The sequence below is a fragment of the Homo sapiens genome, chromosome 1 (genome assembly GCF_000001405.40).
Source record: "Homo sapiens chromosome 1, GRCh38.p14 Primary Assembly".
NCBI classification, from domain to species: domain Eukaryota; kingdom Metazoa; phylum Chordata; class Mammalia; order Primates; family Hominidae; genus Homo; species Homo sapiens.
Genome location: NC_000001.11, coordinates 208,028,822 through 208,055,458, shown reverse-complemented (window position 1 = coordinate 208,055,458; position 26,637 = coordinate 208,028,822). Strand labels below are relative to the sequence as shown.

General features: G+C 50.5%; 1 protein-coding gene across 3 annotated transcripts in view; it reads left to right on the top strand.

Annotated features, from left to right (window-relative positions):
• PLXNA2 (plexin A2) overlaps window positions 1-26,637 on the top strand; it is a 222,143-nt gene that overhangs the window by 188,926 nt on the left and 6,580 nt on the right. Inside the window, exons 14-31 of one of the 3 annotated variants that reach the window (XM_005273164.4) lie at window positions 921-1,038; window positions 2,996-3,132; window positions 4,036-4,203; window positions 4,357-4,450; window positions 9,342-9,581; window positions 10,249-10,392; window positions 10,717-10,951; window positions 12,256-12,398; window positions 13,093-13,361; window positions 15,401-15,467; window positions 15,692-15,838; window positions 16,475-16,634; window positions 16,985-17,088; window positions 20,867-20,966; window positions 21,950-22,140; window positions 23,285-23,479; window positions 23,700-23,869; window positions 26,417-26,629. In XM_005273164.4, coding sequence (XP_005273221.1) covers window positions 921-1,038; window positions 2,996-3,132; window positions 4,036-4,203; window positions 4,357-4,450; window positions 9,342-9,581; window positions 10,249-10,392; window positions 10,717-10,951; window positions 12,256-12,398; window positions 13,093-13,361; window positions 15,401-15,467; window positions 15,692-15,838; window positions 16,475-16,634; window positions 16,985-17,088; window positions 20,867-20,966; window positions 21,950-22,140; window positions 23,285-23,479; window positions 23,700-23,869; window positions 26,417-26,629 — 2,895 coding nt within the window. Of the gene's footprint in view, window positions 1-920; window positions 1,039-2,995; window positions 3,133-4,035; window positions 4,204-4,356; window positions 4,451-9,341; window positions 9,582-10,248; window positions 10,393-10,716; window positions 10,952-12,255; window positions 12,399-13,092; window positions 13,362-15,400; window positions 15,468-15,691; window positions 15,839-16,474; window positions 16,635-16,984; window positions 17,089-20,866; window positions 20,967-21,949; window positions 22,141-23,284; window positions 23,480-23,699; window positions 23,870-24,120; window positions 25,093-26,416; window positions 26,630-26,637 lie in introns of those variants that run through there. The other 2 variants (XM_005273165.5, NM_025179.4) reach the window with 2 other exon arrangements.

Sequence of the window (26,637 nt, the reverse complement as noted above, 5' to 3'; positions counted from 1 at the left end):
TCCAGGCAAGAGTTTCCCCAAGTCCCTGATGCCTTCATCTCTCCCCATCCTCAGCTGCCCACCCTTTCTAGAAGGGTACCGTGGCTAAGGCAACCAGTATCTAAATGTGCTTGTGTAACTGTTCTCAGGCGCCAGGGAAGTCATCACTAGGGGTATTGATCTGGGCTGCTCGAGAGAGAGCGCTGCACACTTCTTCCCTCCAGCTCTCCCGTTAGTGTGAGACGTGACTTTCGCTCAGGGCCGTGTCACTGTCTCTCCCACCGGGTGTGCTCAGCCCTTGATGAAGTGAGAGGCCAGTGTCACCTGCTGGCCTAATGAACTTGTCCAGCTCCCACCCCTTTGCCTACTGCGGCAGGACTCCACCCCTCCCGTTCTGCAGGGAGCTCCTTCTCTGAGCTCTCACTATCTCACCAGATTATCTCTCCCCTTTTTAAAACTCACTACAGGAAGCAAACCACAACTGAATCGGCTTGGCAAACATGCCCTCACCCACTCCTTTAGGGAGTGTAGCAATGTCTGCTTGTTACATAGGAGAGAGCGTCAGCTAGATTGCTGCCCCGAGATCTCTGTTAGACATTCCCTTTATTCTATAAATTCTGGGTCCCTACCCAATGCCAGGCACTGCGCTAGGCATGGGGAACCACAGAAATGGCCACAGAATTAGGCAGCAGAGCATATCAGAGGCACACAGGGCTTTAGAGATGATCCGGTTCAACCTTCACACTGTGCAGATGAGACCAAAGCCCAGAGAGGGAAAGCACTGTACCCAAGGTCACACAGCAAGATGGATGACCAAGCTGAGTCTTGGTCTGGCATTATTGCAAGACTGTGATGAGTCATTTGCCATGACTGGGAGAGCAAGTGAACAGCGATGCCAGCCCTTGCCCAGTCCCTCACCAGAAGGTTTGCTTTCTCCCCAGGATTGTCTGTGAGATGGGCCATGCCCTCGTGGGAACCACCTCCGGGCCAGTACGCCTGTGTATTGGCGAGTGTAAGCCAGAGTTCATGACGAAGTCCCATCAGCAGTACACCTTCGTGGTGAGTACTGGGTCCAGGGCCAGGTGCAGGTGCCCAGGGAGGAGACACACATGCTCCAGACTCCTCCCAGGAAGCCCCCACTCCCCTCCACCACCAGGCTTCTTGCAGACCAAGGAGGAGAAAAGGACCCTCCAGATAAGGCAACTTCTGGTCTTGCTGTTTTGAGAGCCTGTCTTTCCGGGATGAGATGGGCATGTGATAAACAAAGCTGTGGAGTCTTGGGAGTCCCAGAGGGCCACAGGTCAGAGTTCTAAATAAGGCAAAATCCAGCCTTTCTTAGAAAGTGGATCCTAGACTGGGGGCGGGGAGGAACTGCCTCTTGTCCCACCAGTGTAATATCTTAGTCTAATTCTAGCCTAATGAGGATGCATAGCCTGAGGGACCTAATTAAATAAGTCTATATTTATCCGCATGCTTTGTTTTCTGCCAAGGATATTTTAAGTGGGAGTTTAGAAGAGTCACTGAAATCTGGCAGGGATGTGTATCTGCACAGGACCACCAGAGTCACTCTGTATGTGTAACTCGCTACTGTGGTTACACGCACACATTCACACAGTCACACCTGAAAACATCTCTTTATGCGCAGGCAACAGGTAGTCAAATTGCAAAGACTTTCTTTCTGTAATGGCACTCTATTCATACTGAATCAATAACTTGCTTCTGGGGCCCTGGAGCCACCCAGGGCTATATTCATACTGAATCAGTAACTTGGCTTCTTCGGCCCCGAAGTCTCTCTTCTGACACCTACATTGCTACATCGAATATTTCATTAAAAGGCATTAACACTAGCAGATGGGGTCAAACCAGCCTTGCTGAGAGTTTTAAAAAATCTTTGGAGCACAAAATTCTATTTTCTGTAAAGCATTTTGCTGATTGTTTCAGGTTTTCTAGCCTCTGCCTTCTTATCTTGGCATCTCCACCTTTTTCTTATACTCTCCTCTCTCAGACTGGACAGTACCTTGCCCTATCTGCAGCCAACCTACTCCATCTCTTACCCAGGGCAGGGGCAGTGGGCATTTGTGTGAGAAGCAAACACAGGAGAACTAGCTGGGGAGAATGTCAGTACTCTGACAATCTGGAGCAAGTCAGAGCGGAGAGGGGCTTTAGAGATAACCTAGCCCACCCTCCTCACTTGACAGAGGGGTAAAGAATGATCTCAGAACTTGCCTCAGGACACACAGCGGATGAATGGCTGATGCAAACTAGAATTCATGCCTGTATAGTTGCTCAGTTAAATGCATTTTCCAATTCACTCCACTCCACTGCCCTCCAGGCAGAAGCAATTCTTTTCTGATTCAGGTCAGCCACCTGATGCATTTTAGGTTAAGCAATTCTTTTAAGCTTCAGGCTGAATTTTACTACTTAGTGAGCTTAGTAGAAAGCCCCAGCCAGTGATGCGCCATCCTCCTGATGAGGGTCTGAGAAGCCATCCTAACATTTACTGACAGCTCTCTGCACCAGGTGCCCTGCTGTGCCCTTCTTATGCTCAGGGAAGGACAGAAGGGCATGTGCATGGGCCATTAATGGAGGACTTTAGCCTCTCGGTGGCCCAACCCAGGCAGGGATGCTTTATTCAGCCCTATCGATTTTGTGCCCAAAAAATCAGTAAAGGCTCTAGATAGAGAAGCATTTTCAAATTGTTCTCAATTTGTAAACGAATTGATAGATTAGTCAGTGTCACCTCTGCTTTCCCTTCATTGTTATGAGCATGAGACTCTGGGGAGTTAATTAATTTCACCCCACATGACTCTTCTGCCTTCCCGGACATGCCCAGAGATGATTCTTAGAAAGAGTCTCACCTCTGGGGTAAGCAGAGAGAGCATTTAGGATTGAAAAGGACAGGACAAGTACCACCACGCCCAGAATGAAAACAATCTCTCCCATCCTTAGATCTAACCATGGTCCATCCTTTTGGAGAAAACCTAAGCTGTAGTCATTTCTCTGCTTCTTTCCAAAGAACCCTTCTGTGCTGTCACTCAACCCAATCCGAGGTCCCGAGTCAGGAGGCACTATGGTGACCATTACCGGCCATTACCTTGGGGCTGGGAGCAGCGTGGCAGTCTACCTGGGCAACCAGACCTGCGAGTTCTACGGGTGAGATAAACTTGAAGGGCCACCAGAAGACTGCACATCTGGGACATGTGCTGTTCACATGTTACTGTGCATGTTCATTCATAGGCCTGCCCCATCACCTCCATGTTATTTGCTACACCTAGACCCAAATACCATACCGGTCACTGTGAGAAATATATGCCACTTGTCAGTTTATATCCCGTATATCAAAGGGGCTGGATACTTCTAAAAATAATGAGAAGTGAGGGCCATGAGAACACCAGATGGAGGAGGCTCCTAGGAGCTCCCCAGTCACCACTAGGATCAAGCATTCATTGAGTCCTCACTATGGTGACTTGAAAAACACGGAGATTGCATAGCCTCAGTTCTTAGAAAGCACAGACTTATGCTTAGGGAATCCTCTGTACATAAAAAATTGAACACCTACCATTTGCCAGCACTCCCCTAGCCCTGAAGATGTAGAGAATTTGGAAAGAATCCATGGATGAGAACCCAGTTTGCCCAGGATTATCTACCTGATAATCTCCTTGGACCGTAAATTCCACAAGGGCAAGGACTGTGCATTCACTGCTATGTACAGTAGGTGCTCAGTGAATATTTGTTGACTGCCTGACCAGATTCTAAGCACTGACTAAATAGTTACATTCTAGAAAAATCCAGAAAAAAGGAGTTTCCCCGAAGCCCATGAAACCCTATCCCTGCCCCTCATTTTCAAACCCCCGTCTCCAATTTGCTGCCTCCCTAATCCACTGGGGCACTGATCTATACTGATGCGGGATGTGTTCCATTGTTGTAGAATATAAAAGGATGAGAGAACACTTCTGTGGCCTTACCCGCAGACCAAGGAAAGCCCCTTGTCAAGCCAGTGGGCACCTCTTGTTGCCCATGCCTTTCTTCTCAACCCTCCTGCTGTCTCCCTGTCAGGAGGTCAATGAGTGAGATCGTGTGTGTCTCACCCCCATCATCCAATGGCCTTGGCCCGGTCCCTGTTTCTGTGAGTGTCGACCGAGCCCATGTGGATAGCAACCTGCAGTTTGAGTACATAGATGACCCTCGGGTCCAGCGCATCGAGCCAGAGTGGAGCATTGCCAGGTGAGGTGGAAGGTGGGAGGGATGCACCTGGAAGCCACCCAGCATGATCCCTGCAGCCCAAGTCTGGCTCATGAGAGGGATCCCTAAGGTGGAGGTTCACCATGCCAGATTTGAGGGGGTTTTTTACCTAACCGAGCCTCTGCCTGTTTTCAGTGGCCACACACCCCTGACCATCACAGGCTTCAACCTGGATGTCATTCAGGAGCCAAGGATCCGAGTCAAATTCAATGGCAAAGAATCTGTCAATGTGAGTAACTGTTGGTCTGCCCCAGCCTTTGGTAAACACAGCTCTGTGTTGATGTTTTGCAATGGGATGAGCTCTGGGTTAGGCACTGGAGCCTCTGAATACTGGAGAGGAAAACTGGCTTAAGACTCTGAGCCTGGAATCATGGTCCAAATACCTAAACCTTATAATTTTTTTTTTTTTAAGACATGGCCTCACCCTGTCACCTAGGCTGGAGTGCAGTGGTGCAACCACAGCTCACTGCAGCCTTGACCTCCCGGGCTCAAGAGATCCTCCCGCCTCAACCTCCTGAGTAGCTAGGACCACAGGCGCATGCTTGGCTAGTTTATTATTATTATTATTTTAGAGATGAGGTCTCTCTCTTTTGCCCAGGCTGGTCTCAAACTCCTGGGCTCAAGTGATCCTCCCGCCTTGGCCTCCCAAAGTGCTGGGATTATAGGCATGGGCCACCATATTCAGCCCTACAATGATTTTTATATTATAATGACAGTACAATTTCTTGTCAGAAGGTGATATAGTGAGTGTATCAAAGTACTGGCTTCTGAGTTTATGATACAGCACAAAAGGACTCCTGTTTTATGACAGGTTGACTTTGAGGTCCAGTGAAAACCCATATTGGAAGTGGTTGGAGAAATTCTGGCTCCAGATTCAGACATGTCTGGAGAGGAAGCAGGGTTCTGCCATCTATTAGCTGTACAAGCATGGTCAAGTCATTTAACCTCCGGATCCTCCACCTCTCAGCTATGAATGGTGACAAGCAGACCTGCCTCAGCTTCATAACCTGCCAGCCCGTGGCTGGCATAAGGTTGGCAGTTGATAAATGCTAGTCACTGCATCAGATAACTCCACCTAGGTTGCTAAGATGATAAGTTTGGACATTTTATATTAGTCTTCCATGCATAGCCATGTAATTTTTATAATTTTTAAAAAGTTGTCTGTATCGTAGGGATAGAATGTCTGATATGTTGTCAATTTTTTATCATTTTTCTAGGCTCCATCTCACTCTTTCAGCCAATATTTTTTGAAACATGATTGTATTTGTAATTATATTATAGCAGATGCTACTATGGCCATTATTTTTCATAGAAATTACTATCATTACTGCTTTGACCTTCAGGGGCTTGACTAGACTAAGATGGAGATGGAGAAGATGGTGTTATGTCTCCCCTCTTACCCCTGACACATTTCCAGGGTACTTGAGGCTTCCATAAGAAACACAGAGATACACAAAATGACAGAGTGTTAGAAGGTTAGATATAGAAAGGTCTCAGGGATCATCTGATGCAACCCCTTCATTGTGTAGCAGAGGAAACTAAGTCCAGAAAGGTTAAATGACTTGCCCCCAATCATACAGGTGACTGGTGGAAGGGCCAAGGTGGATCCCAAACATCCAGACTCTTCGTAACTAGGCCACATGAAATGCTGGTGGGCTTGACATTACCATCCTGCTGGAGATGTTGGGGAGCACTTGTACCACACCTTCAGTATCCACCATGGTCACTCCTTTTTGGGCTAGGTGAGCGCATGCCTCCTTCTGCCAGGTGTAGAACTTGATCCATGGGTAAAAGAGCCTAGGCCCCCACTCCATTTCCAGACTGAAGCTCAGGGTCCCCAGAAACTCCCAGGTAACTCCAGAGTCTAGGGTGAGGTATGGGAACAAGAATGGTAAGTTCACACCCAGGAAGGATTTAAAAAAAAAAAAAAAGCAAGCAAATTAGGTACATGTTTTAAAATATAGGTTTTATTGTTATTCAGGTATGGCAAGGCCAGAGTATAACTTGTTCTACTCATAGATCAAATCCCAAGAGAAGAGGGAAGTCCATGCCCCAGGGGTCACAGGGGGAAGCACCAGGGTTGGTCTGCCTGGAGGCGGAGGGAGAAACCGTGGCAAGAGTCTTTATGTGGTTTCTGCAGGAAGGAACAGGCATAGCAGGGTAAGCAAGTTTAGGATCAGCTAGTTTGAGTCATTTTAGCAGGCTCTGGGGCCCAGGGCTGTCCCTAGATGTTTGGTGCCTGGTCCCAGAATGATGAGGGCATGAGGATAGTGTGGAAAGGGGCAGTTGAGCTGTGGGGTCTGGATTGGTTCGTGCATATGAAAGGCACGCTCACAGGCAAGTTATTTGCTATCTCTAGGATTTTGCCCTGGGAGGGACATTCCCTCCCCAGTCAGCAAGGCCCCAGATGTCAAAGCATCAGCATACAGAAAATAAAAGACGTAATTAATACAGTCCAGAGAAAATTCTGGAGAGTGAGTACGTGACCTCCAAAGGCTTCAGCCTTAGTCCTCAGGAAGCCATTGAAGAGAAGCCTGGGCTGGGAAGCCCCTCCCCTTCCCCACACCTGACACCTGTGGCCAAAGACTCAGGTCCCAAGCCCCCTGCTCCCTCACCAGGACTCATTTACAGTACTGGGCAGGAATGTTCTCAGCGCTTCCTCCAGCCCCATGCACCATGATCTCAATGTTCCAAGGACTTAAGAAGCAGTTCTGCCCTCTGGGGAGCTGGGGGCCCTCAGTTTCAGTGGTGACCTGCCTGGTATCTACAGGCTGGCAGACCCAGAGGGAAGGATGCAGGAATGTAGATTTCCATCAGCTGGCTCCAGAATGGGAGGCTCAGAACCCCTGCCCTGTGCTTCTGCTTTCAGGAATGGTAGGAGAGAGGCACTTTGCCCCTGAAGCCCTGCCTGGTTGGGCCCCAGCTCATCCTCAGCACACCTGGGCCTACCCCTCATCTTTGGGTTTTGAAGCTGCCCCAGTGGATAGCTAGGAGGGCCAGAGTGAAGCCGCCAAACCCAGAGGAATGTTTGGCAAACAAAAGTGCCGACGCAGCACGGGGCAGGCAGCGTCCAGAGGCCTCTTGCTTGGGAGTGATTTGCTTATTCATAGAGGAGCCTGGTCTAGGGAAGCTAGACTGGGACCAGCAGAGAGGAAGATGTTGGGGTGAGGCTCACCAAGGCTCGGTGTCTTCTTGCAGAACCCAGGAATTGGGACCCCCTGGCTCAGCTGTACCCATTTCACCACACCCCTCAACCTCCCCATGCCTCATTGTACCCTGCTGGAACATGAAAGGGGCATTAGGTTCATAAGGGGCTGCTGAATTGCACCACAAAAAGGGCAGGAATGTGTACTCCCTCCCACTACAGCATAAAGGCCGCAGTGAGCCGCTTTGTTTAAACTCTTAAATTCCCTTTGGAAAGGAAGGGTTAAGACTTGGACTTGAAGCTCTGACATAATCTCTATGCAAGTGTCAGCTTTTTTTGCAATTTCACACACAGTCTTGTTTTCTGAACATGAAGCTCGTGTGTGTGTATGTTGGCCAGACGCATAACATGTGTGGACCTGCCAGGACAGTGTGTACTTGAGCAGTCTGAGTTCTCAGAGATGCCCTGGCTGTTGCCGGGACCCCACTGCTCCCAAAGCTGAAACTGAGCTGTGCTGGGTGGGAGCCAGGCAGAGAGGGAGTAGGAGTCTGGGTTTTTCTTCCCAAGCCCCACGTGGGCCCTTTAGTGGTTTCTGCAGTCTGGCTGCTGTCTTGGGCAGCCCCAGAACTAAACCTCCACAGGAGAGAATGGCACAGCTCATGCTAAGGAGGGACTGGACCAGCCCAGCCAGGATTTTAGTTGGCACCAGAGACCTCCAAGAGAAAAAAGATATCATGAACTCTGTGTCAAAACCAAGCTTCTGTCCCAGTGCAGGGTTAGGGGACACTTGGTTAGAGAAGAGAGAGAGGTCCTACATAAAACATTTGAAGAAGGCTGGGCCCAGTGGCTCAGGCCTGTAATCCTAGCACTTTGGGAGGCCGAAGCGGGCGGATCACCTGAGGTTAGGAGTTCAGGACCAGCCTGGCAAACATGGTGAAACCCTGTCTCTACTAAAAATACAAAAATTAGCTGGGCGTGGTGGCACGTGCCTGTAATCCCAACTACTCAGGAAGCTGAGGCAGGAGAATCACTGGAACCCGGGAGGCGGAGGCTGCAGTGAGCTGAGATCGCACCACTGCACTCCAGCCTGGGCAACAGAACAAGACTCCATCTCAAAAAACAAAAAAACAAAAAACATTTAGAGAGTTGCAGAATCCTATTTTTCATCAGTATTCAATCAACATTAACTGAACACCTACTACATACTGAGCAAAGTGCTCATCTCGTACCACTTCCTGCTCCACACTCTACACACACACACACACACACACACACACACACACACACACACACACTATGCTGTTCTGTCCTACTTTTTTCTCAAACATCCCATGCTCCCTTGTCCCCAGGCCTTTTGGTGCTGTTCCCTCTGCTTGGAACTTGTTCCCTTCCCCCTCCCTCTCCTTATCTAGGTAAGTCCTACTCATTCTTCAGATTAAATTTCATTCATTTCTTCCATGGGAAAACTTCCATGAGTCACTCCTACCCTGCTTCAGGCCATGCACACACACATACACACACACACACACACTCATGCACACACACAGACACTCCTAGAGTAGCTGGTACTTCCCTACCAGGGCATTTATTTTTCACATCTCTGCATGCATCCAACAGTGCTGTGTGCCCCCCATGCCCCAGGCCCTCTTCCAGGACTAGATTGTAATGCTTCTTTGTCTTCCCTCCAGACTGTGTCTGCCGCTCTATAGCCCCACCTCCTAGCACAGTGCCAGCACAAACTAGAAACTAGATGCCCAAATAGCGTTGGTGAATGAATTAATGAAGAAGCTAAAATGCCCCCCACTCCCCCAAAATTTCACTGCCCTTTCCTGGAGGGCTTTCCCATGGAATGGAGACAAGCAAGTAAACCCAGTGACGAGGCACAAAAGCAGAGAGAGGGTGGGAGAGCGGCTGTGGGCCCCTGGGCTCTGTGCCAGGCACTCCGTGTGTGAATGCTGCGCTCTGGATCTCTTAGGTGTGTAAAGTTGTGAACACAACCACCCTCACCTGCCTGGCACCCTCTCTGACCACGGACTACCGCCCTGGCCTGGACACTGTGGAACGCCCAGATGAGTTTGGATTTGTCTTTAACAATGTCCAATCCTTGCTAATTTACAACGACACCAAGTTTATCTACTACCCCAACCCGACCTTTGAACTGCTTAGCCCTACTGGAGTCTTGGATCAAAAGCCAGGATCGCCCATCATTCTGAAGGTAGGAGTGCCCGCCAGAGGGCAGTGCCACCAGGGGCAGCAATGCCAGAGGGCGCCCCTCGCTCCTGGCCTGACTTTCTTTCTTTCTGGCTCTCCTTTCTATGCAATTGAACTTGCAAAGCTGTCTCCTTCCTACAGAAGGAGCTCATGGGTAGATATCGACCCATCAGGCGATATAGCTTGCACCCAGGCTTCTTAAGAAATACTTTAGAATATTTCTGTTAGTTCTTGTGAGCTTTGGGAACCAGAGGTACTGCAGTGAGTTGGGAGTAACTGTTTCCTTTTCTGTCCACTCTGTGGCCACAGGAGCCCACACACACATTTCCAGAGGTCACAGTCCCTGGCACTGTCCATCCAAGTGATTTGTTGCCCCACTACTTTCGTGAAATCCCATGCATCCTCCCCCAAAATTTTCTCTTGTTTAGTGTTTTGTCTCCTCTGCATTTTTCCCACTCTCTTCTTCATTTTCATTCTCTCCTGCGTCTGTTTTCTCTCTTTCTCTCTAGATCATGGCTGTTAGAAGTCCCCTCCACAAAAACTTGCCAAGGAGTCATTTCCTGGTTTTTGCACTGCTGCCCTTCCCCGTCTCCTTAATCTCTTTTTAAGTAGGCAATTAACTTGTGCGTGCATGTGTCAATTATGCCTATAAAGACTGCTATTCTCTACAGGGCAAAAACCTCTGCCCTCCTGCCTCTGGAGGGGCCAAACTCAACTACACTGTGCTCATCGGAGAGACCCCTTGTGCTGTCACCGTATCTGAGACCCAGCTTCTCTGCGAGCCTCCCAACCTCACCGGGCAGCACAAGGTCATGGTGAGTGAGCCCTGCGTCTGTAATGCCTCCTTCCCGCCTCGTGGTGCATGTGTGATCTGTCCTAAGGAAAGGCTCTCTTCTGTCTCGTTGCCTGACTCACCCCCTCCATATCTCCTCATCTCTGGGTCCTACATCAAATTGGGTATAAGCTGAGAACACAAGAAAAGAAAGGCAGATGCCGAGGCAGGAAATTGCTTTTTATCTAGAGCTGCACTGTGTGGTTGTGGTCTGTCATGTCCTTCCTCGCACTGTAAGGATCTGCTGGCATGCCCGGGCTCTACACCTGTGTGCATCCATGTGCGTCTGTATGTGTACAATGCACAGGTTCACGTGGGCGGGATGGTGTTCTCGCCTGGCTCGGTGAGTGTCATCTCAGACAGCTTGCTGACCCTGCCAGCCATCGTCAGCATCGCGGCCGGCGGCAGCCTCCTCCTCATCATCGTCATCATCGTCCTCATTGCCTACAAGCGCAAGTCTCGAGAAAATGACCTCACTCTCAAGCGGCTGCAAATGCAGATGGACAATCTGGAGTCCCGTGTGGCCTTGGAGTGCAAGGAAGGTTAGTGGAAGCACACCCTCATTTGCTGGGTCCCTCTTTCTCCACCTGCCTTATTGCCCTTCTCCCTGCAGACAACTCCTATCTTTACTCCCATCGCTGCCAGCCATGCCTCTGCATTCCACTTTCACCCCTGTTTTCCCAGAACTTCTTTTGCTTATAGGGTCAGAGATGTCCAATGAAGAATGCCCACTGCATGAGGACCCAGGTCCAATTGCATTGTTCTAGTCCCTTCTTTGCCCTGACCCATCCCACAATCTGGCAAACACTTTCTCCCTCTCAGGGCCTCAATGTCCCCACAGTCAGAGTCCCCAGGCTCCACAGCCCCAGACTCTAGATCCCCCATGGGAGTGTCCAGCTCTTGTTTTTCTGCACACTGTCTTCGCAGCACGTGGGAGCAGCGGCAGCAAAGGCAGACAAGCACCTGCCTCATCTCCCCCAGGGTTTGTTTTCCATCAGTGCTGCAGGCTGAGCGCTCTGAAGGCCGCCACTTGCTGGTGTCCTTGGCTGTGGACGTGTGTGGGAGTGCAGATTGTGTTTTCTCCCATGTCCCACGCAACCACAGCCTCGAGGTGACGAGTGTACCTGGCGTCCTCTCAGGCTGAGGACCTGGCAGGCTCTCTGGGTAAACAGCTCAATTAGGAATGAAAACATTTCTCCTTTTGCTGCAAATGTCAAGATCAGAAACAAGCCCTCTGCTGGATGACAGGGAAGAGCTGGGCTGGGAAATAGGACATGTGGAGCCAAGGTTCCTCCTGGCAACAGGGCTGGTGAGTTTGGCAGAGGAAGGAGCCAGGAAGACAGGTGTGCCACCACCAAGGTGAGGCTTCTGAAGCCCTTGCCTTCCCAAACTCGGCTCTCAGCTGAGCGTCTCATGACCAGACCTCCCCTAGGCTTTTGCATCTTGATTTATTACCTTGATTAGAAAAGGGCAGCACTTTGCCTGTTCTGGTCTTTGCTGGACCCCCTCAGCCATGGTCTCTCACCTGCCTCCAGCATCTCCGTGATCTTTACTAAACGGCCCAATCATGATACTTTTTTTTCCTTGTTGAAACTACACTTGTAATATGTAAAGAGAAAATTTGAAATTATAGATAAGTATAGAGGAGAAAATAACATAAAAATCACCCATTTCCCCACCACCTAAAAACAGCTGGGAGTAGCCCCGCCCTCTGGAGACACACTCCCGTAATCCTCAGAGTCTCTACAAAAGGTCCTCCCCTCGTCCTTTGCAAACTTCTTCTCCCTCTTTCTCCTCCCCCGACTGGGGCTTCCCCACGAGCCTCTCCGTCTGCTTATTCTCATAGCTTTTGCTGAGCTCCAGACGGATATCAATGAGTTGACCAGTGACCTGGACCGCTCAGGAATCCCTTACCTGGACTATCGTACCTACGCTATGCGAGTCCTGTTCCCGGGCATCGAGGACCACCCCGTCCTGCGGGAGCTGGAGGTAATGCCTGCCTCCTGGGCCCAGCCACCCAGCAGGGATGCAGGCCCAGGGTATCCTAGGAAATCCAGATGAGACTCAGCAGTACTGAGTAAGGTTAGCAGGGAAGAGGGGTCAGTAGTTTGTAACAGCATCTCAGCAACAGAGCTATCAGGAAGGTTACGGCTGAGGGGGCACCCAGGCTCCTTGGGATGGTTCCAGGGTAAAGCTCATTGTTTGTCATTTTTTAATTAATGACTGAACTAATTAACTAAGATCCTGCCTCATTCTAAAATGGATTTAAGATGGCTTAAAGAAAGACACAGGATTCTATGAGGTTTGTTTGTTCATTTGTTGGTTTGTTTTACTAAAGATAATAAATCAGGCAGAGGAGATTAAGGGGAGACTAGTAAACTGAAGAAGTTTGAGGGGGCATCTCCTATTCTATCCTTGGGAAAATCAGGCAGCCTCCCCTCTGAGAGCTCCGCATGGAGCCCAGCCTCCCCGGCCCAGTGCAAGGTCAGAGCAGACTGTCGACCTTAGAGCCAGCTGTTCCTACATCATCACGGGTGAGTGGAATGGGGTGGGGTTGGTTATAGGCCTCAAACATAGGGTCCTACAGCTAGTGTCATCGCCAGCAGGCCCTCAGTGAGACCCTCAGGTAGGAGGCCCGATGCCTGTCCTCTGAGGGCGTCGCCTCCACCACACCCCACCCCAGGTACAAGGAAACGGGCAGCAGCACGTGGAGAAGGCCCTGAAGCTCTTTGCCCAGCTCATCAACAACAAGGTGTTCCTGCTGACCTTCATCCGCACCCTGGAGCTGCAGCGCAGTTTCTCCATGCGCGACCGGGGCAACGTGGCTTCGCTCATCATGACCGGCCTGCAGGGCCGCCTGGAATATGCCACTGATGTCCTCAAGCAGCTGCTCTCTGACCTCATCGATAAGAACCTGGAGAACAAGAACCACCCCAAGCTGCTACTCCGGAGGTCTGGCCCGCAGCAGTGGGTGGAGAGGGTGGCAGGAGTCTGAACCTGGACAGAGCACCTCATTATAGCAGGCCCCACAAGCAGCATGAGAAGGCCCACTCCCCAGAAGGGGCACCCATTCAGAGCAGCCTGTGTCCTCACGTCTCTGCAGGGCAGAATCTGACTTTCCCTCAGCCCAGGGAGACTACAGAGTCTGAAGTCACCCAGGTGTGATGGATGAGCTCAGACCCTTGCTCGGATCTCAGCTGGAGTCCCAGCTCTGCCTCCTGCTAGCTCTGTGATTTCTGGCCAGTGTTGTAACCACTCTGTTGTTTAGTTTCCTCCTAGACAAAATGAGAAAAATAATTCCTATCTCACAGTCTCTTCCTCCCGGTGCCTCTAGAGCTGTGCTGTCCGGCACAGCGGCCCCTAGCCACAGGTAGCTGCTACAAATTAAAATGAAATAGAATGTAAAATCCAGCTCCTCCATTGCCCTAGCACCTAGCCGCTTTCTAAGTGCTTGGTTGCCACATTGCAGCTAGTGGCCACCATACGGGACCGCACAGATAGAGAACATTCCCATTATCGCAGAAGGTTCTATTGCGCAGCACTGAGCTAGGGATTTGGACAGCCTAGAAGGCCGTGCCTTCTGAGCTCAGCTTCCTGGATCTGAATCACAGCATCCACTACACATGCCCACTGCATTTTTCCTGGCAGGGGAGAGGGTTGGAGACCTCAGTATCCCCTGAGCCCACCCTCTCTAGAGGCCGTGGGGAGCCGGGCACAGCTTTGGAGTCCTCTGGGCAGCAGGGGCTGGAGGGCTGCACCTCCGTTCACCACCCCTCCTCTTTAGCCTTCCTCTAGCAAGGTCTCAGGCTTCCAGGCCCCACGTGGGGTGAGGAGGGAGGAAGAATGGCTTTGCTTTATGAGTACTGAGCCCCCATCCTGCCAATCTGAGCATTAGAAACTCTCATTAAGAACTGTTGTATTTAAATTAGAGCTAATCTCAAGCACAATGCAGGGAGAGGGTGCTGGGAGGAGCCACGGGAGAAAGCTACAATTTTTTCTGCCATTGTCACTCTCTCCCAGGCCCAGATTGCTGAGCAGCCCTGGCAAATGCCTGGGATTTACTGCAACCAGAGGATATAATTTGCACCACGTGCAGGGAGTTAAAATACCCCTCCGGCATCCCCTTCACTGAGGGTCTGTCACAGCCGCTTTGTTCCTTCCCAAATCCCCAGATCTGTAGCCCTGGGATGGGAAGGGGAGGGGGGCCAGCCCTTGCATGAGCAAATCCCCTGTTGGCAAAACACTTAAGCACTGCTCTCTACCTGAGGGCTGGGATCCAAGACCCCACATGACAGCAATAATGACAGCTAATGGATAGTGCTTAGCAGGTGCCAGGCACTTTTCTTAGCACTTTACAAATATTAACTCATTCAACCCTGACAACAACCACTGGGGTTGGATGTTATTATGACTGTCTCCATTTAGTGATAGGAATACTGAAACCAGAGAGGTTAAATGACTTGCCCAAGGTCACACAGCCAACGTATGGCAGAATCAGGATTTGAACCCAAGGAAGTCTAACCTTGAGTGTTTTTGGAGGGGAAGGGACCAGGCACCTTCCAGATAGGCAAAACAGGGTACTCACACATGCAAGAAAGCCCAGAGGGACTGGGAAACTCTCTAGTTATCACCCTGAGGCCAGAAGTGAGTTGGGAGAACCGGTTCTTTATAGCCCTGTGGGATAGTGAGGTGCCTTTATCCACAGACCCTGTCTCAGATGCAGCCAAAGTTCAGAGCACCACGGACCATCAGGGCTGAAAAGGCCAACCTCTCCATTTTCATAGGAAATTGAGGCCCAGAAAGAAGCCACCCCTACCCCCAGGTCACAGTCTAGTTACTGGGTGAGCTGGGCTGGGACCCAGGTGTCCTGACTCCCGCCCTGCGTTCTCCCATGCTCCATTGTTCTCTTGGGAGACCTCATGGCAAGCCCAGGCCCCACCACGGAGACCCCTCTGTGAAGGACTGCCCCTTACCCTTTGTCCCTTCCCCAGGACAGAGTCTGTGGCTGAAAAGATGCTGACCAATTGGTTCGCCTTCCTCCTGCACAAGTTCCTAAAGGTGAGAAAGGGAGTGAGACGGGGCCTAGCGTCCAGGGCAGGATGGCACTGCTGCTTAGATCCTGGCCACAGGGCTGCATGGGGACCCCCTCCCTCGGGAGCAGGAACCTGGACTGGCTGTGCTAAAGCCCTTCCTTCCACTGGCCTCGCTCCGAGAGAGGAAAGGGAAAACGTACAAACCTGAGGAGGCCGTGCCCACACCTCCTGCCCTGTCTGTGCCCACAGGAGTGCGCAGGGGAGCCACTCTTCATGCTATACTGTGCCATCAAGCAGCAGATGGAGAAGGGCCCCATTGATGCCATCACGGGCGAGGCCCGCTACTCCCTGAGCGAGGACAAGCTCATCCGGCAGCAGATCGAGTACAAGACCCTGGTGAGGAAGCCGGAAGCTCCGGGCCCGCCTGTGTATCTTCTACTTCTGCCCCTTGCTCTGCCTTCTGTCCATAAAAGCAGTCTAGGGGGTCAATAAAGAGGATGGGAGGCTGGTCTGGGGTGAGCCCAAAGGACAACTAAGTGTACCAAGAGCAAGGTGGCAGGCCCGCCCACCCATCCCAAGCACTCTATGCCTCGGTTTATCCTAGATAATATTGGGGGAGAAAAAAGTTCACCCATCATTAGTTATTGGGTAATTGGTATTATGAGAAAGATGTATGTTGGTTCCTAACATAGAGGCTTTGGGGAAGTGCATGACTAGTCTCTGATACATGTAGAGCCATCTCTAAACACTGAGGGTGCCTCATTCCAGGACTATAGTCTCCCCTAAGCTGTCCAGGAGCTAGAAAGTAGAGTCCTGGTGCTTTGAGAAAGAAGAATTGGACACAATGACTCAGACTCTCATTTGGCAGATGTTATGAAGGTGAGGGAAACTGAGTCACAGACCAGAAAAGTACCCTTATTTCCCCTATAAGGAGGGTGAACTTTGGAAAAAGAAGATTCTGAGGTCCTGACCCTCTCCCTCAAACTACTCCTTCAACTCCTGTCCTGCTCACCCTCTGTCCCCTACTTGTAGATCCTGAACTGCGTCAACCCTGACAACGAGAACAGTCCAGAGATCCCAGTGAAGGTGTTAAACTGTGACACCATCACACAGGTCAAGGAGAAGATTCTTGATGCCGTGTATAAGAATGTGCCCTATTCCCAGCGGCCGAGGGCAGTGGACATGGACTTGGGTAGGAAACCTGGACTCAGAGTGTGAGGGCAGGGGTTGAGAGGTGAAGGAAGGGAAGCTGCCATGCACACAACCCTTGCAGGGGCATGACTGTGTCCTGGCCAGCTGAGGCCCGTGTGAAATGCTTCCCGCTTTGAGCGCTGCCTGTTCAGATGTGGCTGTCTCTGGGGAGGTCTACGTGTTTCCTCTGCTGCCTGGGCCCATGGAGCCCTAGATGTCTCTAGCCTCTGTTATTGGTACCAGCTTGAGGGGGCCGGGTTGCCAGGTCCCTAGAGAAGGTGCAATCGGGAGACACTGGCTCACAGCCCTCATCCCTCTCACGCCGCTCCCTGCACCACCCCCTCCACCCAGAGTGGCGCCAAGGCCGGATCGCCCGGGTCGTGCTGCAAGATGAGGACATCACCACCAAGATTGAGGGTGACTGGAAGCGGCTCAACACACTGATGCATTATCAGGTGAGAGGGGGTGTCTTTTCCCCTCTTCAGCTTCCCAGAATGTTCCCTTCCCGCTAAGCCTTGCTCTAAGGCCTCAAAAGTCTAAAAAGGATTTTCCTCTCCCTGCTTTCCTCCTCCTGCTGGAGCATAGAACAGGGATTCTTAGCCATGGCTGCCCATTGGAATTACTGAGGGAACTGATAAAAAACGTGAGTGACCAAACTCCACCCTCAGAAACAGATTTAACAGGTCTGGGGTAAGGCCTAGGCATTTCTATTCTGTGTACCTCTACATTTGCAAAAAAACAAAACAAAACAACAACAACAACAAAAATCAAATGCATATTGCAAAGCCCTCCACATGGACAACTACCTTAAGGTACCTGGCACTTTCTCTCTTTAGCATCTTACTAACACAGCCCACACCTCTGACTTACAGTGGAGCAGGGAATTGAATAGACTTCTCTTCAGGTCTTACATTCTTCCTCTTAGTAGCTGGTGTCCTTGGGAAAATTACTCAGGCTTTCTTGTCTCTCATGTGTAAAATGGGGCTCCTGGTGAACCCTGCTCCGTACAGTTGTATAGAATAGATTCAAGATAGAAGGTGAGGTGTTTAGCACACTGGCAGACACATTGAATGAGCAGTCAAAAAAAAAAAAGAAAAATCCCAGCAAAAGAACACAAGATCAAGGAGGTATCTACTCCCGCCTCTTCTCCCCTCCCATGGTAACCACTCGCAGCTGGGGGTCTCTGTAAGATTAAGCACAGGTAGACAGGTTGGGATTCAGAAAAAATACTAAAATAGAAACTGGAAATAAGAGACACCAAGGGAAATTAAACCAACTAGAGGAAGCGCCTCAGGCTGCAAGACCCGTGGGATCGTCTGATTAATAACATCCTCCCATGTCCCTGTCTCGGAAAGAAGGATCTGTAGAGGGGCTGGCAGGCTGGGCTCTCAGGCACTGAGCTGCCAACCACCAGGCGCTGGAGCTGGCAGGAGCCTCCATGGGCACAGAGGAAGCTGTGGCACAGGGGTCCCCAAAAATGCTCTTCTCCAGGCTCCATCCCCCTGACTCGCCTGCACCTCCCATCCTGACACCCTGCCTAGACCCCTGCCCAGAGGACATGAGTGTGGTGTAATGGGAAGAGAAGAGGCTTTAGAAGCTGTATTCAAGCCCTGCTTCCCCACTCCTTGGTGGTGTGACTTTAATCTCTCTGCACCTTGGGCTCCTCATCTGTAAAATGGAGATAACAACCCTGACTTGCGAAAGTGTGAGGTGCCCAGGATTGTACTTACAGATAAGGTAGCTGTCATCACTCCCTGTTAATTCTGTACACATACACACATGCCCAAACACCACCATTTCATATGGTGCTTAATGTATCCAGTAGAACAATTGTAATGAACCAATTAAAGCTGAATAAGAAAGTACAAAAGAAAATAGCATGATGCCCCCAAATCATGAGTTTCTAAAGGGCAGGAGTGGGGTCTTTCTGCTTCTGTCTCTGATACTCTAATGCTTGTTACTGGGCTTTCCAGCCTACGGCTCCCAATCAGAAGAAGGGACTATTTTGTTCTCATGGTGCTGATCATACAAAGCACTTTCAATTCCCTGATGTCATTTATCATTCATGTATGCATTCAGTCCTCAAATATTTACTGAGTTTTACTGAGTGCAAGTCACTTCCCACATGCTAGCCCTGAGTGACAGGGGACAGCAGGGAGTATTCTTCCCTTTGGGAGACTGTGATGATGATGATGATGATGCTCATAATAGCAACGCTAATACCAACACTTACTGCGTGCTCACTGGATCCCAGGCACTGCTCGCAGCCTTTCCGTGTTTTAACTTCTTTAATTCTCACCACAAACTACATGCAATTATTATCCCCACTGACCGGTAAGGCTCAGAGAGGTTAAGTCCTGGAGCGGGTAAGCAGCAGAGTCAAGGTCAGACCCAGCCAGGCATCTTGACCATGGACTTGCACCACCTGTTGGTTAAGACAGAGAAAAACCAAGGACAGGAGCGGTTTAGTGACTAGACCTGCAATCAAGTTGAACTGTGGTCATTTGAGTCACCTTGTGAATCTTTCATTAGGTGACAAGAAACTATAAATGATAATGTAATCTGTTCTCCCTGGGAGTGTGAACTCCTGCCCCTGCCAAGCTTTCCAGGTATCATTTCTGGGCTGTCAGTTGTAAGGAGAATTCCTGAAAGACGGAGGTAGAGACTGCCCCCCTCCCAGTCCTAGTGCTGATGGTACCAACAGCTGACAAGTCCAGGGAGCTGGTCTAGCTGGGAAGTAATGGAGCCTTGGCACCTTCCAGGCACAGGACCTTGGAGCTTTATACCATCAAGTCAATGCACTGCCCTCTTGTTACCCTCTCTGGAGTCAAAGGTCCTTGGAGCCCTTGCAGAAGAAAATCTGCATAATCTTAATTAACAAAGAGATGTTAAAAAACTTCCCAGGCTTCTGCAGATTTATAGGGAGGGTAAAATTAAACACCACCACTAAAACCTGCTATCAGGGAATCTCGTTAGCACTAATGTTCATTTATAGTTTGACTTCCCCACATTTAATTCTTTTTTGGTGGGAGAGAGGGACTGACAATTTAAGACCCAGAAAGATGGTTTTATGACTGGTGCAGCTATAAATCAAACTTATAAAGTTCATAAAAATTGTTAAAATAAAAAATGGTTTAATAGGAATGTTTTATGGCCCATAACATTATTATAGCTGTTTTATTCCCTCTGCGTTAGGGGTTTAATTGGATCACCACGATTCTGGGGATTCTCTGTTTTTACTGGATGGAGGGCAATCTTAAATCAAAATGGCCCCAAATGTCTTCAGTATGGCTCCTCACTTATCCGCCCTCTCCTGCAGGCTGGGTGCTGAGCTGGGGTACCCTCATAGAGGATGGGACAAGACACCATCTTTCTCGCTCAGTCCCCAAGAGTGGCTGCCCTTTTGATGAAACTATTTGAAGTGATCCAGGCATTATAGGACCCAGGTCAGAAAGAAAGCAGAGCCAAAAGGGAAAATGGGCTTCAGACCAGTGTGACTCGAAATAAAATTCCAAGTTAGAATATATAATGAAGAGAACATGTGCTCTGGAGCCTGACATACCTGGCTACAAATATTGGCTCTACCATGTATGAATTATGTGACCTTTAAGAGGTTGCTTAGCCTCCCTATGATTCCATTTTTTTTTTTCATCTGTAAAATGGGAATACTTGTGCATAGCTCGCCAAGTGGATGGGAGAATGGGTCTGGCCCAGTGCTGTCCAGTAGAAAATTAATGCAAGCCACATGTGCAAGCCACATGTGTAATTTAAACTTTTTGTATTAGTCACATTAAAAAGGTAAAAATAAAAAGATCAATTAATGTTACATATTTTATTTAATCTAACTGGTCTAAAATGATTATCATTTCAATATGTAATCAATTTAAAAATTATCAATAAGATAGTTTATATTTGTATTCATACTGTCATTGAAATCCAGCATGTAATGTATATTTATAGCACATCTCAATTTAGACACAGCTCATCTTAGTTGGGATTAACCACATTTCAAATGCTCAATCCACACACATGGCAAGTAGCTATTTGATTGGGTTATGCAGCTCTAACCCAATAAAAGCTCAAAAAACAGCAGTAATGGTTGTTTCTGGTATTCCTGTACTCCTTGCTCTCTACCCCACAGCTATCTTATAACCCTCTAGAAATACTTGACTATCCAACTTCCCAAGACACCTACATTCACCTTTTGTACTGTACCTTTTGTACCCTTCTCAGGTGTCAGACAGGTCGGTGGTGGCTCTGGTCCCCAAACAGACCTCCTCCTACAACATCCCTGCCTCTGCCAGCATCTCCCGGACGTCCATCAGCAGATACGGTGAGAACCACGAGGGCAGACTGGGCAGCTCAGAGCAGAGTCTTCTGAGACCTAGCAGGGCCCACTCGCTACCCCTTCTAACAGCAGGCAGCCCTTGCTGCTGCTGGCCCAATCACAGGCTCCTGCCAGTTGGTTTCTGTCCTCCCTAGTCCAGGCATTCCCAGGCAGCCTGCGCCCTCAGAGCCGTGGGAGCAGGTGGCACCATGTGCCCTTTGTTTGATATCCCAGCCTGGTAGAGGAGTCGGAGTGGCCCAGAACCAGGAAGGCACCTGGCTGGGGGTTCATATATCCCAGGTTGCCTGGGCCAGTCCAGTTTATGCTTGTTGTCCTGGCTGAATTATTAAGAGTGCCCCCTTTTACTCTCAGAAGTGTCCCAGTTTGATCAATAAATTAGTCCGAGGAGTACTGGGGCCCCCAGGCCCTCCGGGCAATGAGGTTATGGCACCTCCTTGTCCCTTATTTTATTTGCTCTGGTTTCATGTATGCACTAAGGCCTTGGGCTTCTCAACCAAAGGGCACCACAGGACTGAACCCAGCAGCACCAAAAAGGGCTCAGGAAATCCCATACCCCAGGCCCCATGCAAGAAGAGACCCTTAACTCCCAAGAGGAGAATTACAACTTGCAGCTCTTTAGTATCCAGATTTCTATTAAAACACCGACGAAAATATCCTATTGACATTTTACCTATTAATTATTCATTGCTGGGAGTGTCAGAGTAGAGGGGACTCCCAAATTCCCAAGGATGTCTCTAATTCACAAAATTTATAAATCCTTTTCTAAAAAAGCCTTCAAGCTCTTCCGTCCTCATGCCAACCAAGGATCCCTAAAATAACCTACCATATATGAGGTCCCAACGGTCCCCTTTCAGCTGAAATGAGTTTATTCTGAGTGGATGCAGCAGGCGGGCAGGGATTCTGGAAGGATTCTACAAGCAAGGCTGGTGACTGTTACTCACAGCCCTCCACCAACCCCTTCTCCTCAGACTCCTCCTTCAGGTATACGGGCAGCCCCGACAGCCTGCGGTCCCGGGCCCCGATGATCACCCCAGACCTGGAAAGTGGGGTCAAGGTGTGGCATCTGGTGAAGAACCATGACCACGGTGACCAGAAGGAGGGTGACCGGGGCAGCAAGATGGTGTCCGAGATCTACCTGACCCGGCTACTGGCCACCAAGGTAACTCCCCCTCTGCCCAGACCAGGGAGTGCTTGTTAAAGGAGCACATCCTGCCCCTCCACAACACAGAAAGGATGTCTGGAGTGTGTCCTTCAAGAGGACCCATTCAGACAGTCCAGGTACAGCCAGACCTGGTGGCTCATGCCCATAATCCCAGCACTTTGGGAGGCCAAGGCAGAAGGATGCCTTGAGCCCAAGAGTATGGGACCAGCCTGGGCAACATATCAAGACCCGATCTCCACTAACGAAAAAAAAAAAAGAGGACAAAATTGGAAAAAAAAAAAGAGAGAGAGAGAGATAGTCCAGTTCCCTGGGCAGGGCTTCCAAAGGATCAGGCCACCGCTGTTCTCTACCCTTTGGCAAAAATAGCAAATATATCTTTGCTTTCTGCGTACTTCTTGAGACTACTGTTTCACTTCAGAGGAGTAACTCTCTCCCTCTGGACCCCTTAAGCTTTAGGAAGGCAGTGGGGTTTCTTGCTGATATTAGTTGGATAGATATGCTGGCCTTTCTATCCCCTTTCTGGCCACAATGGGAGGGAAAGCACAGAGGCCTGGCCCTGCCAGTAATCCAAGGGGAGGCTTCCTCTTCCCATCCCATCCCACCCCAGCTACCCCCAAATGTTGATGGAAGTGAGGCTTCATCTTTTAGCCTTCCTAGCAGGTAGCAAAATAAGCCTGTAAGTATGACAATCAAAGAGCCAATGTTTTCCACGCAGGGCTAGATTTCAAATATTCTCCCCGATGGACCCTCCAACAATGGCACTGAAGTTTTAATACAGTGGCATCCAACTTACAGCTCTCACACTTGCTCCCAGAGTGGCCCAGAAATATTCCACGAGACCCCATGTCTCCATTTTAGCTTTGCCTAATATGCTCAGCATAACAACAAGAGACCAACAAAGAGATAACAGAAAAAGCTAGAGGTTTCTGCTGACCCTCAGAGGTGTGCCATGAGCCTGTAAACTGTGGGAGCCAGGCCCAGTCTTATTCCTGCCCCAGAGACCCTCCAAAGCCCTGTGGATCAGCACTCTGCCTGTGGGGAGGTGGTTCTTGAGTCTAGACCCTTCACCCACATTCCACATTCCAGATACCACTTGTCTCAGGTCACTAACATCCTAAGCCTCTTCATACCTTCCTAACAGACTCTCCTGGTCCTGCTGTGCTCCTGCCAGGAGGCACCCAGTCCTCCAGCTTGTTCCTCGGACACTGTTTCCGGACTGGCTTGCAGCCTGTGCCCCCTCATTCACCCATGGGAAGCCCGGACCCGGGGCACTTCCTGTCTTCCTGTCAAAGACCCTGAGCCTACACCCTGTGTGGAATGTGGAATGTGGCTGCAGGTTGGAGGAGAGATTCTTCCCCAGGATTCACAGCCCACCCAGTTTCTCCCACCTCCCCAGCTAACCAATAGTACCCTTCCCCACCCCGCAACACTGCCTGCACAGCCTCGTGTCCCAGACAAATTTCCAAGGCAGGATGGGTCCAAGGCACCATCTGGTATGCCTGTCTGCTACCTGCCGTCACCCCCCTCCATCTTACTCTCCCCCACCCCTCCTCCAGGGCACCCTGCAGAAGTTTGTGGACGACTTGTTTGAGACCTTGTTCAGCACTGTGCACCGGGGCAGCGCTCTCCCCCTGGCCATCAAGTACATGTTTGATTTCCTAGATGAGCAGGCAGACAGGCACAGCATCCATGACACAGATGTGCGGCACACCTGGAAAAGCAACTGGTAAACCCTCGGGGAGCTCAGCAGGAGGTGCAGCCTGGAGAGGCCTGGAGCTAAGAGGGATGAGGACCAGGAGATGGGAGGGTGGGAGGATAGCCTATTCTCGGCTGGGGCTGGGTGATCCAAAGCTCCTGGAACAAACAGTGCACATATGCTCTGCAGAGCCCACACGGTCCCCAGCTGCCTGTGCCAAGTGGGGCCTGCCTGGCTTGAGGCACAGCAATAGGATGCACCCTTGAATTCTGCCCCTCCAGGTTGTGACCAGTACCCCAAGAAGAGCCTCCTCCCCTGGCTCTGAGATCTCTGGTTCTCAGGAGAAGGGAGCTGGGGGAACCTATGCAAAGAGCTGCATTTGAAGCCTGCAGCAGAGCTTCACAGCCAGACATCGTGGGGCATTCTGAGTGGGGCAGTTCTAAGGCACTTCCTGAGATGGGGAATCCCTGAATTAAACTGAGACGCCCGGTGAAGTTGGTCAGCACCGGAGAGGGAGTTCACACCTGCTATAGACTTGAGCCCACTGACAGGGAGGATTTCATTGCAAACTTGATCTCTTAAGGCCAAGTGATTATCCTGGCGCCATAGCTTTCAGGAAGCAGCAGGCAGAATGCCCTGCAGGCATGACTCTCTCCCCTAAAGTCATCTCTGCAACCAGACCAGCAGTGGGAGAAGCCCTCAGGCCCCTGGTATGAGACTTTATCCTCATGGGTTTTGAACCTGGACCACAGACCAAGCTAAGGACTGGCTTTCAGGTCAGACAGGACCCGGCCAAGAGCTGGCATCAAAAGGCTTCCTTTGGGAAAGAGCACAGAGAGGGGAGAGGGGAGGTCCAGGCATTTGGGTTGGGCAGGCAGCCCACGCAGCTGTCTGGAGTTAGCGGTCTCCTCAGAAAACAGAGCCGACACAGATGGGCCCAGGCTGTTATTTGGGAATCAAAAGTCCTAGCAACCAACAAAACACTTTGGAAAAAGCCAACCCCAGCCCCATCTCTTCCTTCCTCCTCCCGGGTCTTGTGGTCGCTGAGCCTTCCTCAGTCTGCAGCTTTGATCACAGTGGAGTGAAACGAACAGGCTGGGGTGGCCCTGGGGTTAAGAGCCCACAGTCCACTTTGCCAGGACAGGCCTTCCATCTGCATTCCCTGGACAGCACATGCCTGTCCCCTTTGCTTTGGAGCATCCCCGGCCCAGCGCTGGGAGAGGGCACTTCAGGGGAAATCAAGAGAAAGTCCAGGGTTATCCGCATCTCTGTGCCTTCTGTGTGCTGGCCAGATCCAAGTAATAGAAATGGACTACCCTGGCATCGTGGTGTGGAGAGAGTTTCCTTAACCAGACCTCAATAGCAAATGTCCAGGGAAAGATTACCAGAAACTACCCAAGGCTGCCAGAAGAAGGGGAGGGTAGAAGAGATGAGTCAGCTCTCAGCTGCAGCAGCTTCTCCCAGGCTAGAGGAAAGTGAGGGATCCTGTTGTGTTTTGGAAGATAGGCAGAAATCATCGTGGAAGGGCTTGAGGCTGGGTAAAGCAGATCTTCCCCAAGACCTGGCACTACTGAGACATTTGGGAAAGTTTGGGGCCCATGAGAGTCAAGAGAAGATGAAGGAGGGGAGAGAAGAAGAAGCTGGGGAGCTGGGAACATCATCTCAGGCTGGAGGACAAGCCTGTGACAGGACCGGTTCCACAGAGGAGTCAAAAGAGTTAAAGCCCAGAAGGCAGCTGGAAGAGAAGGCAAAGCTGGAAAAGGAAGTAAAAGCAGCAGCTGTTCTGATTTTGAAGGAGAGTAAATGGGCTTATTTGCTTTATGGTCTAAGGAGCAGAGAAAACTCATTCTCCTCTGGTTATAAATTCCCGAGTTGCAGAAGGAAGTCTCCTAACTACTGATCGGTTCCTCTTGGGGTGGGAAAATCTCTGAGCTACAGTGAGTCATTCCCAGGATGCCAACAATGGCCTCCACTTCTCCCTCTGCCCCTGCCCAGATACAAGAACGCCCTGGGGAGAGTCATGAAAGAACTTCCCCCAGGGGAGCCCATTCCTCGGCCCAGCCAGGCCAGGCCAGCCCTGGGAAGTAGCTTGGGCAGCCGGGCTGGGCGGGGAGCGCAGGTGGCGCCCTTTGTGCCTGCTCCGAGGCTGAGCCTGGGGCTCCTGGCTGCCTTCTTCCGGACAATGGCCACGGGCACTGTGAAGGGACTCCAGGAGCCTGGTGGCTTTGTGTGAAGCCCTGAGAAAATGTGCTGTCCTCTGTTCTTGGGCTTGCCTAGGGGCACAGAGTCCTTTAGAAAAGTCTCCCAGAAGGGAACAGAACACACCCAGGCCCACCCCTCGGATGTTAGAGATCAGGGTCAGTGCCCCCATTAGGGTACAAAGTGCCTCTCCTTCCATTTCTCCCAGGTCAGTAACAGCTTTGGCTAAATTAACCCTGGCTGGACCCATTTTCTTCCATTTTACTCCTTTGCCCCTTCAGGTGGACAATTTGACCTTTGATGGGGAAGAATATCAGTGGGCAGCAGAAGGGGCACGGCCCGCATGCATTCTCAAGTCTTCTCTGCCTTTCCCCACAGCCTCCCTCTGCGCTTCTGGGTGAACGTGATTAAGAACCCCCAGTTCGTGTTTGACATCCACAAGGGCAGCATCACGGACGCCTGCCTCTCTGTGGTGGCCCAGACCTTCATGGACTCTTGTTCAACGTCAGAGCACCGGCTGGGCAAGGACTCCCCCTCCAACAAGCTGCTCTATGCCAAGGACATCCCCAGCTACAAGAGCTGGGTGGAGAGGTCAGTAG